We start from the raw sequence: 17,850 nt of genomic DNA, 5'->3' as shown, positions 1-17,850 counted from the left end.
CAGCAATGCCTTTTGGGTATACTGTTACCTGCAGCTTGGGGTTTTGCCCCTCCACAGAACTGTTCCCCTATAGATCCACAACAGAGCCCCATTCTCTCTGGGAGTGGTGCAGGCTGTGGGACTGGGGACTGGTTATGAAGGCCTGGGCCACAGCATTCAAGAAAAAGCCCAACCCTCTAGCTGTTTGAGTAGGATGGAGATTGGTGATAGGGTCTATTCCTGGGAGATGCAGAAGGGGGAGGAAATTACACTGTGTAGGTTTCTCTTGTTTAATAACTTCCTCCATCAAATCTGCTTAAAATGAATATCCAGGGCAGATTCGCAAAGAGAGGGGATGTCACAAAAAGTGAAGGGCAGGGGAATGTGATGAGAAGGGCCTGTGGATAATTCCATGACAGTAGAATTCTTGGCTTATGTACTTAGCTCTGCATATGGACGGCACTACGTTCATAAGCATCCAGTGCTAAAGCCCTGTTTAAGAGGCAGAGTAGGAGAGTGTGTAGTAAAGTCAGCCCTGTATTGTAAACTCTATAAGGAGGGGCCCGTGTCTGTCTTTTTCACAATTAATGCCCCAGTGAGTACCTAGAACCACACCAGACACACAGAAGGAGCTCAAGAAGTATGTGATGATGAATGAATGGTGGGAAGTTGAAGGAGAAGGGTGCAGCTTGACAAGCATGCAGGTGCTCAGGGACTGGCCAAAGCCACAGTGCAGCGGGACTAATTTTAGTCCCCGCCTGCTGGTGGAAATCAGGCTCCAAATATTCTCCAAATATTCTTGATTGAAATTGCATTTCAAAGCTGCAAAAAAGAGATGGGAAGTTTCGAGAAAGTAGAGACCATGTCTGCCTTATTCGCTATGCCTAGGAATAGGCTGAGACACATAGCAAGTGGTCTTAAATATTTGCTGAGCTGGGAGAGCTGGATTCTCACTCTATCTGTGCCATCAATTTGCTGTGAGATAGGCAAATAATTCCTTTTTCTTTGGGCTTTCATTTCTTCACAAGTGCAATGAAGAAGCTGAGCCCATTGCTAGCAAAACTGCTTCTAGTTCACATATTCTATGATTAGAGAAGAAGCACTTGATTTCCCAGAAATCGGACCAAGCTTAAACCTAGATCAATCTATGGGAAGTATTGAAGTAACATGAACACCATGACACTTCCTGCGTTACACCATTCAACATCTTCCTTGGCCACAGGAGAAAGCAAACAGCCTTTGTCCAATCATTCTGCACTGATGGGACTTGGGTTTTCTTGTGAATTTCAAATTTTCCTTCTGTTAATAGAAAAGGGGCCACATTGACCTAGAAGCATTTCAGTTTGTTTCCCTCCAGGGAACCGGCTGAGTGTTTGTGGAACTCCTACCTGCCAGGGTGCCAGGTTTACTGGCTGAAGCTCATTAAACCACAGGGTAGCCCTTCAGAGTTTCCTGAGCTGCAGAACAGCTGAGTGAGTTCATTCTGACCCAGGAAGCATGCTTATAGAGGTTTCCTATCCAAGCCTGAAGGTAAGTCTCACTCCGTACTCAGAAGCAGCTCCCTGGGCCTCCAATCAGAGGAGCTCCCAAGGAAGAGTAGGGACCACAGAGGCCTGGTTTTCCCATTTGTGTAAACAACTCCAAGTCCTCTGTCCTACCCTGCCAGCAGGTTACCAGCTTCTGGCTGCAGATTATTCACGGGCTGGGAGCAGGAGGAGGAGGGCACAGTGATCTGAGCAGACCCCTTGAGAAAGCAAAGCTACACTTTGGTGATGGTGGTTTAACTGCACCCCATGTGGAGGCTTAGTCAAGGTCAGTCATCAAGTGACCCAGAAAATAATATTTGTAACTTCCAAGGGTTCTGTTCAAGAATGTGCTGTGGGATCCCTCTGCACCAAGGCTTGGGGTGGCCACAGCCTGGTGAGTGGCCCAGAGGTGGATGCTGTTAGCATCGTTGAGAGTCAAGGGAAGTCAGAATTGTGAGTCTAAAAAGGAATATTAAAGTGGGAAAAGGTGTCACCCTGAGGTGGCCAAGTTCATTGGGAAGCTCATGCAAGATTAGGAGGGGAGAAATGTGAAATGTGCTTAGGAAGTGATTGATCCTGACTGACCCCACTTATTAGGGTGTAACTTTCATAAGGGTTACCTTTTGGTTTCGATGATGGAGTGTCACATTAATTTCTGAGTTGCGCTGGTTCCAAATTGAATTCTTGCCTAATTTGCTTATTTATCATTTGGTTTCTATGCTGTCTATCTGCCTCCCCTAAAGGATCAGAGGCAACTTTTATCCCTAGTTAATTTTCAAAGCAGGACCATTTTGAAAGACCTTTTCACACTGCTAGCAGCAGCAGGAGGCGGCCTGGCTGCAGGAGGAGGGCTGGGCCCCCAGTTCTGGTTACTGAACTATTCAATACGACAAGTATTTATGGGGCACCTGTGTGCATAGCTCTGTGGGGCTACAAAAGAGAGAGAAAGGCTGTCTCGGTCCTTTTTGCTGGGCCCACTCCACTCCCAGGGCCTTGGGAACTTTAAGGGGTAAGAGGGAGCAAAGGTGAGAACCTCAGAACAAAGGGGGACATGTGGCAATTAGGAACTCAGGAGCCTCCAATAGAAACTGCAAAATGGAAGGGCTCGTTTAGAGATCACCGCCTGTGTTTCCCAAACTGGGGTCTGCAGACCCCCAGGACAGTGTGCTGGCGGGGGGTGTGGGGCTTGAAATGACAGGAGAAATATTATTATGTCTTTTTACTTAAAGAGTTCAGTTGGAGAATGGAGGCAGGGAGAGAACCGGTGGTGTGTTTGTTTGTTTTGTTTGTTTATAATTTGGACCTGTTATTTTTGTAGCAAAACAATCACATAAGCATTTTAAAACTGAAAACATGAGATTTCAAAGGAACTTCATGCTTATGGCAGGCTGCTTCAGATTATGTTCTGAACCAGCCTTCCCTACCCGCTTCAGTGGTACTTGGGTAAGCTATTAGTGATTTTTCAATGGGGAAATTTAAGAAGCTCTAAGATGATTGCATAACCCAGTGCTGTCCAATAGAAATACAGTGCATACCACAAGTGTAATTTAAATTTTCCAGTAGCTAGGCTAAAAAGGGAAAAAGAAACAGGTGACGTTAATTTTAGTAACATATTTTCTTTAAGGCAATATATTCAAAATATTATAATTTCAACATGTAATCAATATTTTAATAATGAATACTGAGCTATTTGAAATTCTTTTGTTTATACTAACTCTGCAAAAACCAGTGTGTATTTTACACTTATCACACATCTCAATTCAGACGGGCCACATCGCAAGTGCTCAATAGCAACATGTGGCCGTGGCAACTGTGTTGGACAGCACTGGCCTCATCTGCTCATTTTACAAATGAGGAAATAAGGCTATGCCCTGAGGTTTCCATTTCAGGTCTGCCTTCTTAAACTTTCCTCCACAAAACTTCAGATTCTTATCCCAGCTTTTTCCTCTGTCCTTTCTTTATGGTGTGAACATTCTCATACTTTGACAGACAGACAGGCAGGCAGGCAGGCAGGCAGACAGGCACACGTGCACACAGAGCATTTGCTCATATGTTTTGCCTTTTACCTTCCACAGCCTTTTCAGAGCCACTTTCTGAGCCCTACACAAGCCAAAGTGCTCTATCCTGTGCCTCCTGCACCAGGGCCCAGTCTCCCAGGCTTGCAAACCAGACAAACTAATCCTTGGTCAGAAACTAATGGGTGCTGGCCGGGTGGGGTGGCTCATGCCTTCCCAGCACTTTGGGAGACCAAGGCAGGTGGATCACTTGAGGTCAGGAGTTCAAAACCAGCCTGGCCAACATGGCAAAGCCCATCTACTAAAAATACAAAAATTAGGCCTGGTGTGGTGGCTCACGCCTGTAATCCCAGCACTTTGGGAGGCCGAGGCAGGCGGACCACGAGGTCAGGAGATCGAGACCATCCTGGCTAACACGGTGAAACCCCATCTCTACTAAAAATACAAAAAATTAGCTGGGCGTGGTGGTGGGCACTTATAGTCCCAGCTACTCTGGAGGCTGAGGCAGGAGAACGGTGTGAACCCAGAAGGCGGAGCTTGCAGTGAGCCGAGATTGTGCCACTGCACTCCAGCCTGGGTGACAGAGGGAGACTCCATCTCAAAAAAAGAAAAAAATTAGCCAGGTGTGGTGGCGGAGGCCTGTAATTTCAGTTACTGGGGAGGCCAAGGCAGGAGAATTGCTTGAACCTGGGAGGTGGAGGTTGCAGTGAGCCGACATCACTCCCCTGCACTTCAGCCTGGGCGACAGAGGGAGACTTTCTCAAAAACAACAACAGCCCGGCTGCCGCCAGGTCTGGGAAGTGAGCAGCGCCTCTGCCCTGCTGCCTTCTGGTCTGGGAAGTGAGGAGCGCCTCTGCCCGGCCGCTGTGCAACCTTCTAAGTGTGAAGTGACAGCCTTGTGTGTGATCTTTTTGCCTTCCCCAAGTTTGCATTTTTGACGTTAAAGTTTACTTTTTAATTAAAAGTTAAAAACAACAACAACAAAACAAAAACAACAAAAAGAAACTAATGGTTGCTAATGGGTTCCTGTGCCACACCTCCCTCACTCCTCATCTGCACCCCAGCTCATTCCATACACATTTATGCGTTTTAAAAGAGGCCTTCTGGAGGTCGAACCCTTATCCCGACTTTTGCCTGTGGGAATTTTCTTTTTTTTTTCTTTTTCTTTTTTTTTTTGCAGACACAGTCTGCAGCAATGGGAAGGAGCTTTTAAGGGGAGGCTGTTAACTGACATCCCACAAGCAATGTGTAGGCATTGTTAAAATAAATGAGAAAATACAGGGAATGTAAGAAAGAAGAGGAAAGTCACCCATCATCTCTCTACCCAAATATAAGCACTGTTCTTACTATTTCCTTCCTGCCAGGGGCCTTTTGATGGCCATGAAACACTTACAAGGAGGTCCACCTGCAATCGGGACCACGGGGCAGTATTGTGCATGGCTCATCGCCCGGGGTTTTTTACAAGAGCTTCCTAAGGAAGGCTAACCCTTCCAGCCCCTTCCCAGAGGCCCCTCCTTAAAAACATGAAATAAAATAGGATTCTGTCCCTCTCTGTTTCCTTCTTGGCACCTCCAGTGCAGCCCGGGCTGTCCCCTCCTCCGCAGCCTGGGGGCCCCTCTCACTGGGTAGTTGAGCACCCACAAGACCAGGCTGCTAGAGCAGGAAGTGCCGCGGTGCGGGCTTGCATTGTCAGCCTAAGAGGCAGGGGCAGCCCGTGGAGGTTCCTTGACCCCAGTGGCCCCAGGCTGACCCCCTGCCAGAGGAAAGGAGCCGGACTGTCAAGAATGCAGTGGAATCCCGCTGAGGCTGGAGCCTCGGTCGAGAAAATGTGCGGAATGCCATTTGTTAAAACACACTGGCCTTTGCACAGAAAAGCTCTTTGCGCTTCAACAAAGGTAGGGCGCATTGTTTCAGGACTAAGGGTCTGATCCAAGTTCACTTCAGTCTGTCTCAAAAGGAGGACGCCAGCTCATTAAAAAGAGGGCAAAGCATTGGTGCTGCAGAGATGACTTGAACTTGACAAAGTTTCCACCCTGTCTCAGTTTTGAGTTGGATGTCAAATCTTATGTAAAATAACAGAAACCCTCAGCTGTTTACAAAATGGGTACTCTAAGGATAAGTCCACTGCAATATACAGTGTAAGCAAAGTATTTAGAAATTACCATTATTTAGAACAGTAATGTTTTTATTTAGAGGTTAGTATTAATTTTCATTAACTTCAGGAGATCCCATTTTGGTGATGGGGGTGCATTGCGGGTGGGAGGCATATGGTAAGTAAAATCAGAACGGGACTGTTGCTAAACTTTTTTGTTGTTGTTGTTGAGATACGGTCTCACTATGTTGCTCAGGCTGGCCTTGAACTCCTGAGCTCAAGAGATCCTCCGTCCTCGGTCCCCGGAGTAGCTGGGGCTACAGGTGTGTGCCACCACATCCAGCGCTAAATATTTCTAAATAACCATTTTTTTTTTTTTTACATTTTAAAATAAAGTGTAATCCTGGAGATTATCCTGAGAGGTTTGAACCATTATTACAGTGAAATGGGAAAAACAAGGCCAATAGGAGGAGAAGGGACTAGCCTGTGCCAACAAGGATTATATAGTAAAAATAATGCTTTTTAAATTATTTATTTATTTATTTACCTACTTATTAGATTCAGTGTCTTGCTCTGTTGCCCAGGCTGGAGTGCAGTGGTGCAGTCATAGCTCAGTGCAGCCTTGAACTCCTGGGCTCCAGTGATCCTCCTGCCTGAGCCTCCTGAGTAGCTAGAACTATAGGCACATGCCAACATGCCTGGCTAATTTATTAATTTTTGGTAAACATGGGGTCTTGCTATGTTGCCCAGGCTGGTCTCAAACTCCTGGCCTCAAGTGATTCTCCTGCCTGGGCCTCCCAAAGCCCTGGGATTATAGGCATGAGCCACCACTCGCAGCCAAAAATAATGTTAATCATAATAGCTGGCTGGGTATGGTGGCTCATGCCTATAATCCCAGCACTTTGGGTGGTTGAGGCGGGAGGATTGCTTGATCCCAGGGGTTTGAGACCAGCCTGGGCAACATAGCAAAACCCTGTCTCTACAAATACAAAAAAATTAGCCAGGCATGGTGACCTGCTCCTGTAGTCCCAACTACTTGAGAGGCAGAGGTAAGAGGATCACTTGAGCCTGGTAGATCAAGGCTGCAGTGAGCTGAGATCATGCTATTGTGTGCTAGCCTGGGCAACAGAGTGAGAAAGAAAAGAAAAACAATAATAGCAGACACATATAGTGCTTACTTAGTACCAGTTACTGTGCTAAAGGCTTTGAACATATCATGTCATTACACTAACTATAGTCATAAAGGAAGGTATTATTATTCTCATTTGACAAATGAGGAAACTACAGCACAGAGATGTTCAGTACCTGGCCTAAAATTCACAGCTAGTGTATGCCAGAGCACATATTTGAACCCAGACATCTCCAAGTCCGAATCCTGACTCTTGTCATCTTTTCTCCTTAGCAGAATGGAAAGAGCACTGGTCTCCTTGCTGTGCTATCATGTTTGACCCTAATACACATTAATTATTTCAGCACTTATTGAGTGACTACTATGTGTATGGCTGTGTGTGTGTGTGTGTGTGTGTGTGTGTATGTGTGTAGGGGAAACAGTAGTGGTGAGAAGTGAGAGGTGAGATCATCAAGAAATTTATATTTTTCCTGGCCTCGTGTGTATGTTCTAGGGTGATAGAGAAATGCATAAACATGTAATGAGGAGGAATGTAAAAAGGGCTCAAGGGAGGTTTTGGGAATCAGCTGGGGGATCTAGTACCTCAGTTTATTGCAGGAAGGGGAGGAAGGGAAGTAAACCTTCCCCTTGGGAACAGCCTAACCAAGCACCGGGGAGGGTGCATGGGACTACATACAGCATGATCACTGACATGGTTTGGCTGTGTCTCCACCCAAATCTCATTTTGAACTGTAGCTCCCATAATTCCCATGTGTTGTGGGAGGGACCCAGTGGGAGACAATTGAATCATGTGGGTGGTTTTCCCCATGCTGTTCTCGTGGTAGTGAATAAGTCTCATGAGATCTGATGGTTTTATAAGGACTCTCCCCTTTAGCATAGTTCTCATTCTCTCTTATCTGCTGCCATGAAAGGTGTGTCTTTTGCCTTCTGCCATGTTAGTGCGGCCTCCCCAGCCACGTGGAACTGTGAGTCCACTAAACCTCTTTTTCTTTATAAATTACCCAGTCTCGATATTTTTTTTTTTTTTTTTTGAGACGGAGTTTGCTCTTGTTGCCCAAGCTGGAGTGCGATGACACTATCTCAGCTCACTGCAACCTCTGCCTCCTGGGTTCAAGTGATTCTCCTGTCTCAGCCTCCCAAGTAGCTGGGATTAAAGGCGCCCACCACCACACCCAGCTAATTTTTGTATTTTTAGTAGAGACAGGGTTTCACCATGTTGGTTAGGCTGGTCTCGATCTCCTGACCTCAGGTGATCCAACCACCTCAGCCACCCAAAGTGCTGGGATTACAGGCGTGAACCACCACACCCAGCCAGTATGTCAGTATCAGCACTGTGAAAATGGACTAATACAATTGGGAGGAGCATGAAGCCACATGGATTGGAACATAAGGTGTGAGGAGGCTTGAAATGGTAAAAGTTGAATCTAGAAAACCAACAAGGAGGCTGGGCACAGTGGCTTATGCCTGCAATCCCAGCATTTTGGGAGGCCAAGGTGGGCAGATCACTTGAGGCTAGGAGTTCAAGATCAGCTTGGGCAACATAGTGGGATCCCTGTCTCTAAAAAAAATTAAAAAAAATTAGCCAGGCCTATAGTCCCAGCTACTCAGGAGGCTGAGGAAGGAGAATCGCTTGAATCTGGGAGGTGGAGGCTGCAGCGAACCGAGATTGCACCACTGCACTCCAGCCCAGGTGACAGAGCAAGACAAGAGAGAGAGAGAGAGGGAGAGAGAGAAAGAGAGAGAGAAAGAGAAGAAAAGAAACGCAACTAGGGCCACGTGTTTGAATGGAATGCTGAAGAGTTTGCTTTTTATCCTGTAGCCAATACAAGACCATCCAAGGATTTTGAAGAGAACAATGAGAGAATGATGTGATGTGTTATGCTTTTTAAGATTAAGTACAGGAGAGTATAGGAGAAAAGCAACTTCATTTGAAATGCTGAAAGATGGTCCTGAGTTCCAAACTGAATAAGAAACATCAGATATTTCCTATCAACTACAACATGTGCTTCCAGGCCACCACCTCTGCAATTCCAATTTGGAGAGGTAAAATCATGGAAATGATCGATTAACTTATTTCTTTTTAGAAATAAATGAAGAACTGTTAGATGGCATTCCTACCCTAGTTTCCTATTGTTGCTGTGAGAATTTACCACAACGTTAGTGGCCTAAAACAACACAGATTTATGATCGTACAATTCTAGAGGTTAGAAGTCCTAAAATCAAGATGTCAGCAGGACTGCAACACTTCTGGAAGCTGCACAGAGAATGTTTCCTTCCATTTTCCAGCTTCTAGAGGCTGCCTGCCTGCCTCGGTGGACAGATCCGTCCTCCCCCTTCAAAGCCAGCAGGGCAGCATCTTTAAATCTCACTCTGTCTCTGACTTCTGCCTCCATGGTCACATCTCCTTCTCTGACTCTGATCCTCTTTCTTCCCTCTTATAAACACCTCTGTGATGACATTGGGTCCACCTGGATCATGCAGGCTACTCTCCCCAAGTCAGGCTCCTTAACCTCATCACATCTGCAAAGTCCCTTTTGTCATGTAAAGTAACAGGTTCCGGGGACTAGGATGTGGGCATCTTTCGGGGGAGCATCATTCACCCTGCCATGCCTAGGCTTCTTCAACCCACCCACTTCTCAAGCATCTTACAGAAAAATGGGTGTCCATCAGCTGTAACTGTTTGGTTTTTCTTCCTGATACTGTAAGTACTTGGTGAAACTCTGGTGGAGACATCCTTTGGCCCATGATCCCCGCCTACTGTTCACAGAGGATCCTGACAATGAGACATGGTCATTGACTTCAGAAATGAGCCATTTGGGCCCTCTGGCTGGGACACCACTGAGCTCAGAATTAAAGGAAACTCAAAGGAGCTTAATTCAAAGACTTGTACTGAGCTGACACAATTTTTTTTGGCCAGGGACTATATCAGGTGCTACAGATATAACCAAGAATGACTTGGCCCTGCCCTCAAGATGCTTACAATCTTGGCGGAAGACAGATAGATTAACAATGCAACAGATTAACAATACCATGTGACAAATGTCCCCATGAATACGTAGCCACCAGAAGGTTGAAGATTACATGAGCCTTGGGGGAGGCCTGGAGGTGTTATGCTGACCCAATGAAAGGAAGAACCAATGAAGAGTTAGCATACATTTGCAGTTTATTTATTTATTTATTTTTATTTTAGAGATGGTGGTCTCAGTCACTCAGGCTGGAGTGCAATGGCATGATCTCAACTCACTGCAACCTCTGTTTCCTGGGCTCAAGCCATCCTTCCACCTCAGCCTCCCAAGTAGCTGGGACTACAGGCACATGCCACCATGCCTGGCTTATTTTTGTATTTTTAGTAGAGACAGGGTTTCACCATGTTGCCCAAGCTGGATGTATTGGCAGCTTTAAAATTAACCTAAGCATCTTACACATGTGAACTCATTTAACCTCACAATGATCATTACACCCATTTAACAGATGAGAAAACTGAGGCACAGAGAAGTTAAGTGACTCATCCAAGATCGTACAACTGGCAAGTGGCAGAGCTGGGATCCAAATCCAGGATGACTGGCTTCAAAGACCACACTTTTAACTACAGTGTTATACTACTTCCTAAAAGAAGATGCTACACTACACCTGAGTTGGCAGATTTCTGGACTAAAGTGGAGCTGCTACCCCTGACTTCAGAGTTTTGAACGATTTGTTCTTGGAAATGACCTTGCACTGTAGCCTGGGATCTGGCATTTTCTTGCCAGCCCTGGAGATGTGGGAGGCAGTAAGGAGCTAACAGGTTACTGTGAGCAATCGTAGCTGCAATGTGGTCCCTTGGGAAAGTTAGACCTCATAACCTGGCTATTTTTATCTGTTATTCTAGCCAGCCGAGGAACTCTGGACTGTGAACTGGTTTTCTTGTTTCACCTGAAGAAAACAAAATAGGAAAGGCAAATGGGATGATGAAAATAAAAATTCAATGTCAGTATCCCTGAAAGAAAGCAAAATGCTTTTGGCACTCTGTGAACACTACTCCTCTATTTAGGGTGCTAACTAAGAGTTGACTAGATAAATATCTTGATTGTATGGTGGACCCTCTCATTTAAACCCTACCCATTTGAATTTCAGACAACAGTTGAGTTAAAGCTTCTTTTGCTCTAGCCATGAATAAAATGGTTTGCTGAGCAAATTAATAGTGTAAGCTCAAATGCATGGAAGAATGAAAGAGAGCAAATGTCTTAATCCCCCTCAAGCACTGCAGATGTATATACAGACATTTAAAAAGCTTGCTGGTGGAAAATCATTCTTACTTACTTAGTGAATCCTCCAAGGAATTCTATGCAGTCATGTTGTTAGGCTAAACTGAACTGTATGAAATGATTGTGGGGTCTGGCATACCCCAACTCTGCTTTAGATCACTTTGTGTATGCATATAATAAGCTTTAGAGCTTTAGCATTTCTTGACATTAGTTTAGCTATTTTATCAAGTGTTTTCCAAAGGGGTCTTTAAGACTTCTTCCTCCCTCATATTTCATGGTATTATTTGAGCTAAGTGTGCTTTAGATATATTGCAGCTGAACCCCTGGAAATTGCAGTGGAAGGTTTTGAATGGTGTGCTCTCTAGAGCCTAGACTAACCTTCCCCCAGACAAATATCTACCTGTCTTTGGAGTCTGACACAAAATGACCACCGCCACCCCCATGAGTCCTTTTCTGCTGGCCCAGGAGGAACAAGTTTTCTGTCCCCCATATTCACTGCACCTGGTGCCACCACACTCCCCTGGCCCGTGCATGCTTTGTGTAGATGAATGTCTCTTTCACTAGACTCTAAATGCCTCCAGAGTAGGGTCCTTTTCTGATTTTTTTTTTCTAAAACTTTAAACAATGATTTCAATTACATAAGTAATAACTGAGAACAGTTTCAATGTTAAAAAAGAGAAAAAAATCAAAAGTTTTCCTCTGACTCCCCTGTTCCAGTTCCCTCTATATCTACCCCAATTTTTGTTTTGTTTGTAATTTTTATTTTAAATTGTGGTTACAAACACATGACATGAAATTTAGTATCTTAAGTGTGGAGTTGAGTAGTGTTAAGTATATACAATTTGTTATGCAACAGATCTCTAGAACTTTTTAATCTTGCAAAACTGAAACTCTATGCCCCTTAAACATCAATTCCCCCTTCTCCGTCCACCCAGACCTATTTTCTATTATTGTGATTTTGATATTTTTAGACACTTCATATAAGTGGAATTATGCATTATTTGTCTTCTGTGACTGGCTTTTTTCACTTACATAATGTCTTCAGGGTTTATCCACACTGTAGTATGTGTTAGAAGTCCTTTCCTTTTAAGGCTTTTAAGGCTTAAGGCTTTTTAGGCTGAGTAATGTTTTAAGGCTTTTAAGGCTTAGTAATGTTTTAAGGCTGAGTAATGTTTCATTGTGTGTATATACCACATTTTCTTTATCCATTCATCTGTCAGTGGACACTTGGGTTGTTTCCACCTCTTGGCTATTGTGAATAACACTGCAATGAACATGAGTGTGCAGATATCTCTTTGAGATACTGTTTTGAATTATTTTAGATGTATACCCAGAAGTAGGATTGCTGGTTCATATAGTCGTTCTATTTTTCATTTTTTGAGGAACCTTACTGTTGTTTTCCATAGCAGCTACACCATTTTACATTCCCACCAACAGTGTACAGGGTTCCCTTTACTCCACACTCATGCCAATGCCTGTTATCTTTTATTATTTTGATAATGGCCATCTTAAAAGGTATGAGGTGATATCTCATTGCGGTTTTGATTTGCATTTCCTGGATGATTAGTGATGTTGATCATCTTTTCATATTTCTGTTAGCTATTTGCATGTCTTTTTTGAGATATGTTTATTTAAGTCCTTTGCCCACTTTTAAATTGGGTTATTTATTCTTCTGTTATTAATTTGTAGGAGTTCCTTGTATATTTTGGAGATTAACCCCTTATCAGAAACATGGTTTACAAATATTTTCTCCCATCCTGTAGGTTGCCTTTTCACTCTGTTAATTGTTTCCTTTACTGTGCAGAGGCTTTTTAGTTTGATGTAGTTCCTCTTGTCTATGTTTGCTTTTGTCGCTTGTGCTACAAAAAAACAAACAAACAAACAAAAAAACACACAAAACACACAACTAATTTTTGCCTGTTGATTTTGCATCCTGCAATTTTGCTGAAATTCTTTATTAGTTGCAACAGATTTTTGTGTGTGTGTGTGTGAAATCTTTAGGGCTTTTTTCCATAAAGGATCGTGTCATCTGCAAACAGAGATAATTTTACTTATTCTTTTGCAATTTGAACACATTTTATTTCTTGCCTAATTGCTCTGGCCAGGGCTTCTTGTATTATGTTGAATAGAAGTGGCAAGAGTGGGCATCCTTGTCTTATTCCTGATCTTAGAGGAAAAGCTTCTAGTTGTTCATTACTGAATATGACAGTAGTTGTGGGCTTTCCATATATGGCCTGTCCTTCTATTCCAAGTTTCTTGAGTGTTTTTGTCATGAAAAAGTATTGAATTTTCATTTGAGTGATGCTTTCTCTTCATCAATTTAGATGATCATGTGGATTTTGTTCTTTACTTTGTTAACATGATTTATCACATTGATTAACTTTTTGAGATGGGGGTCTTGCTATATTGCCCCTGCTGGTCTCTAACTTCTGGGCTCCAGCAAACCTCCTGCCTCAGCCTCCTGAATAGCTGAGACCATAGGTATGTGCCACCACACCAGGCTTACATTGATTGATTTTTGTATGTTGAACTATCCTTGCATCCAGGTTGTATTAGTCCATTCTTGCACTGCTATAAAAAAACACCCAAGACTGGGTAATTTACAAAGAAAAGAGGTTTAATTGGCTCATGATTCTGCAGGCTGTACAGGAAGCATGGCAGCATCTGCTCAGTTTCTAGGGAGGCCTAAGGAAACCTACACTCATGGTGGAAGGCAAAAGGGGAAGCAGGCATGTCTTATGTGTCCGGAGCAGGAGGAAGACAGGGGAAAGGTACTACACACTTTTAAAACAACCAGATCTTGTGATAATTCATAAGGACAGCACTGAGGATATGGTGCTAAACCATTCATGATAACTTTCCTCCCATGATCCAGTCACCTCTCACCAGTCCCCGCCTCCAACACTGGGCTTACAATTTGACATGAGATTTGGGCAGGGACACAGATCACAACCACAGGTATAAATTCGACATAGTCATGGAGTAGAATCCTTTTAATGTGCTGTTAAATTCAGTTTGCTAATATTTTATTGAGTTTTTTAAATCCTTATTTATCAGGGACATTGGTCTGTAGTTTTCTTATTCTGTGTTTGTCTGGCTTTGGTATCAGAGTAATGCTGGCTTCACAGAATGAGTTTGGAAGTGTTCCCTCCTCTTTATCCAGACCCTTTTGATGCATTTACATAGGAATACGTATATACAGAAATCTACAGTTTGGTTTAGAGTGTTCTCTTGAAGCCTAAATGATATTAAACTAGGCAGATTTTTTGGCTTTTGTCACAAAACAGTCTCACTTGGAGAGTTTTCCATGGTGATACATATTGAGCCCTCCCCATTCTTTTAAGCTGCTGCACAATCTCTAATCAATATTTCTTACCTTTTCTATACAGGCTTTGTGCTAACCTCTAGGTTTCAGAAAGGAAAACATAGGTGTTGGAATATAGCTGTGGACAAGACAGCCAAGACCTCTGTCCTCAGGAAGCTTACATTCTGGTTGGAGGAGAGAGACAGTAACTCGATCCATAAGATAATTTCTGATTATGGTAAATGTCTTGAGGGAAATAAAAGGGTCACCCGATGGCAGGGCCGGAAGGTTGGTGGGTTCTTTAGGTGGTCAGAGAAGGTTCTTCTGAAACTGTGGCATTTCAGCTTAATCTTCAAGGAGCCATCCATGTGACATGTAAATGTTTGTTGAATAAATGAATGAATGAATGAAAGTAAAATATTGACAGAAAGAATAAATTCAACAAAGTCGATTTCTGGTATGAACATATATCTATGATTCCATAGTGCATATAGCTGTTTATGGCTATAGCTGTCTGTATTAGGCTGTTCTTGCATTGCTATAAAGAAATACCTGAGAATGGGTAATTTATTTTTAAAAAGAGGTTTAATTGGCTCATACAGGAAGTATGGTGCTGGTGAAGCCTCAGGGACCTTTCAATCATGGCAGAAGGTGAAGTGGGAGCAGGCACTTCACAGAGCAAAAGCAGGAGGAGGGGGATGTGTTACACACTTTTAAATGACCAAATCTCATGTGAACTCAGAGCGAGAGCTCACTTATCACCAAGGGGATGGCTGAAGCCATTCATGAGGGATCCACTCCAGATCCAGACACCTCTCACCAGGCCCTGCTTCCAACATTGGGGATTACATTTCAACATGAGATTTGGGTGGGGACAAATATCCAAACTATATTTCTGTTTATAGAGGGTTAACCATCCACCAAGTATCACAGAGTGGGTATTTCAGATGCCTCAAGGATAGATGCTGCTCTACCTAAAGAAGTAGCCCACTTGAGTCAACATTGAAGATCAAGATTTTTGGTATTGGGTAACTTGAGTCTGAAGCTCACAGGCAGGTGCTCTTCTCATCAGAGGAGGGTTTTAGAAATGGGGTACCATGAGTTTAGTGTGGGTATAATCATCTGATGTCCAACACCTGGCATCAGCAATTATAGGATGTATACCTGCAGAGAAGGTTGATCTGAGAAGGACATGTAAGTTGAAGGGTACAGGAGAAAGTTAGGAGGAGCTGGTGTAACATCAGACCTTCCCCAATAGGGCCACCAATGGAGATCATGATGTGAGCTCCCTTTCTCTATTTCATGCTGACAAGGTTGAGAAGTCCCTATTAAGCCTTCATCTCCTCCCTCACTGAGAAGGAGACAGAAAGGAGCAGGTCTGTCCGGAAGATCAGAGAGCTGGGGAAACCAGTGGAGACAGAGCTGATATCAGAGTCAGAGACGCCATCCTTAGTGGCACTATTGCCTTTTTGGTAGGCAACACAGATAGGATGGCTATGGGATTTGGGTGGGCATCCGAGAGAATATCCTGTGACTTTACCCCCAAAAGAGTGATACCAGTAGCTTTTGACCAGAGATAAAATGTGTTGTTTGTCAGGGACTTATGTAAAGAAGCTACAGTGCCCATGGTGATTTGGTTGGGTATTCATGAGTCACTAACCCAACAGGAAGTTCTGATGTTTTTTTCTTTTGATCCTAAGTGGAGATTACATGTCTATGGATATGTGTGTGTACACATATACACTCATGTTAGAAAATACATTGCATGACCGTGGCCCCTTAAATACATCCATTATCAGGCATAGATTCAAACCACTAAACCTTGTAATGCCGTTAAATAATTTGGATTGGGAGTTGGGAGTTTTGGGTCTCAGCCTGTGACATTTCACATGCCTCCCAGTTTCTCTGGACAGCAGTTTCATCTGTAAAATGATGAGGCTGGATGAGAATGATCTCAACTGCCCCTTTCAGCGTGAGTGTCAATGATTATGTGACTTTTGGAAATGTAGATCTTCTTCGGGGGCCCATGGTGATTTTGCATAAACCACAGAGGTCAAATGGGCCCAAGCCTCTTGGGTTTGGAGGAGGAAACACAGTGCATTATTTACAAGATTCCACCGATTCAGTAGTTGGGTTTGTCAAATATGCAATAAAGAAGGAAATTAAAAACACAAGATTAAATATGAAGGAAGAAGAAGAAAAGATCAAAGCCTTGGAGTTTTACTTCCAAGTTGCAAAGTGCAGCTGTCCGGACTTCCCCCTGACCTCCGGTCGCTCCTTGGAGACAGGGACTGAATGGGACTCTGAATAGGGCTGCAGAGCTGGGCCCTATTCAGTGGCCCTTCCCTACCCTTTAGCTTGGCGAGCAGTCATTCGGACCCTCGGACCTAAGTGAGTCTCCCATCCAATTGCTGCCTTTCCTTTCTCTGTCTCTGACTTTGGAGGACCAGCCTTCATTCTAGGCAAAACCCAGCAGAATAAGTCAGTGACACTACTTCAACTTTTGAAATATTTTAAGTTTTTCCATTTTTGACTCATTGGCTCCCAGTGGTGTGAAAATCTACTTTCAGCAAATTTTCCCTCAAATACTCTGTAGCAATAAGAGATGGCTGCAGAGTTGGATCTGTTTTTCTCCTCTCCAGATTAATCTAAGGTAACATTCGAGGAACAATTTTGTTAACACAACAGAGCAGAGAAACTAAAGGGATCTATTTCCCCCAAGCAGCCACTGAAGTTAAGAACAGGGAGTAGAAGTTTGGGAAATACTTTTTTAGAGGTTTTTAAACATTGCAGTATTTATTTATTTATTTATTTATTTATTTATTTATTTATTTATTTATTTTTAAAGAACAGCAGCTTGGAATGTTCTGCCTTTTTTTTTTTTTTTTTTTTTTTTTTGAGACAGAGTCTCACTGTGTCGCCCAGGCTGAAGTGCAGTGGTGCGATCTCGGCTCACTGCAACCTCTGCCTCCCAGGTTCAAGTGATTCTTCTGCCTCAGCCTCCTGAGTAGCTGGGATTACAGGTGCCCACCACCACGCCCAGCTACTTTTTGTACTTTTAGCAGAGACGGGGTTTCGGCATGTTGGCCAGGCTGATCTCAAACTCATGACCTCAGGTGATCCGCCCGCCTCCACCTCCCAAAGTGCTAGGATTACAAGTGTGAGCCACCACGCCCGGCCCAGAATGCTACTTTTTAGTCTGATGTCACTTAGTCCAGAGCAGGCAGTTAATGGTGGGGGCTCTTAGCAGGACCTGCATTCCATGTAGGCCACAGAGCCTATACTGTGAAATTGCGGAGGGGCTGCCAAAGCCCTGGGTTGTGGAGCTTCAAGTCTTGCTACTGCCAGAGTTGGGGGCCCAGACCCCAAGATCACACCGTGACTCAAAAGACTGGGTCCTGCTGAAGCCACTCTACTCACCAGAGCAAGCTCTCTTTAGGGGAGGCCCTGCTGTCTGGGGCATGGTGGCCACAGGAAAGGGGAGGCCAGGGGAAAGGAGTAGGTTGTCCTTCAAAGAAGCAGCTCTGAGGCTCAAGGACCCTGGCACCCCTGATTCCACAG

The 17,850-nt window shown here is 43.9% G+C and overlaps 1 annotated feature.

Annotated features, from left to right (window-relative positions):
- Positions 5,200-5,723: an enhancer, noted in NCBI's record as "NANOG-H3K27ac-H3K4me1 hESC enhancer chrX:132399118-132399641 (GRCh37/hg19 assembly coordinates)". NCBI's record gives its function as "activates a minimal SCP1, AML or CMV promoter by ChIP-STARR-seq in naive H9 embryonic stem cells {active_cell/tissue: H9 hESC(naive)}" and the evidence as "EXISTENCE:reporter gene assay evidence [ECO:0000049][PMID:30033119]".

The sequence above is a fragment of the Homo sapiens genome, chromosome X (genome assembly GCF_000001405.40).
Source record: "Homo sapiens chromosome X, GRCh38.p14 Primary Assembly".
Classification (NCBI taxonomy): Eukaryota; Metazoa; Chordata; class Mammalia; order Primates; family Hominidae; genus Homo; species Homo sapiens.
Note: the sequence above shows the minus strand (reverse complement) of the source record. Positions and strands in the feature narration are given on the sequence as shown.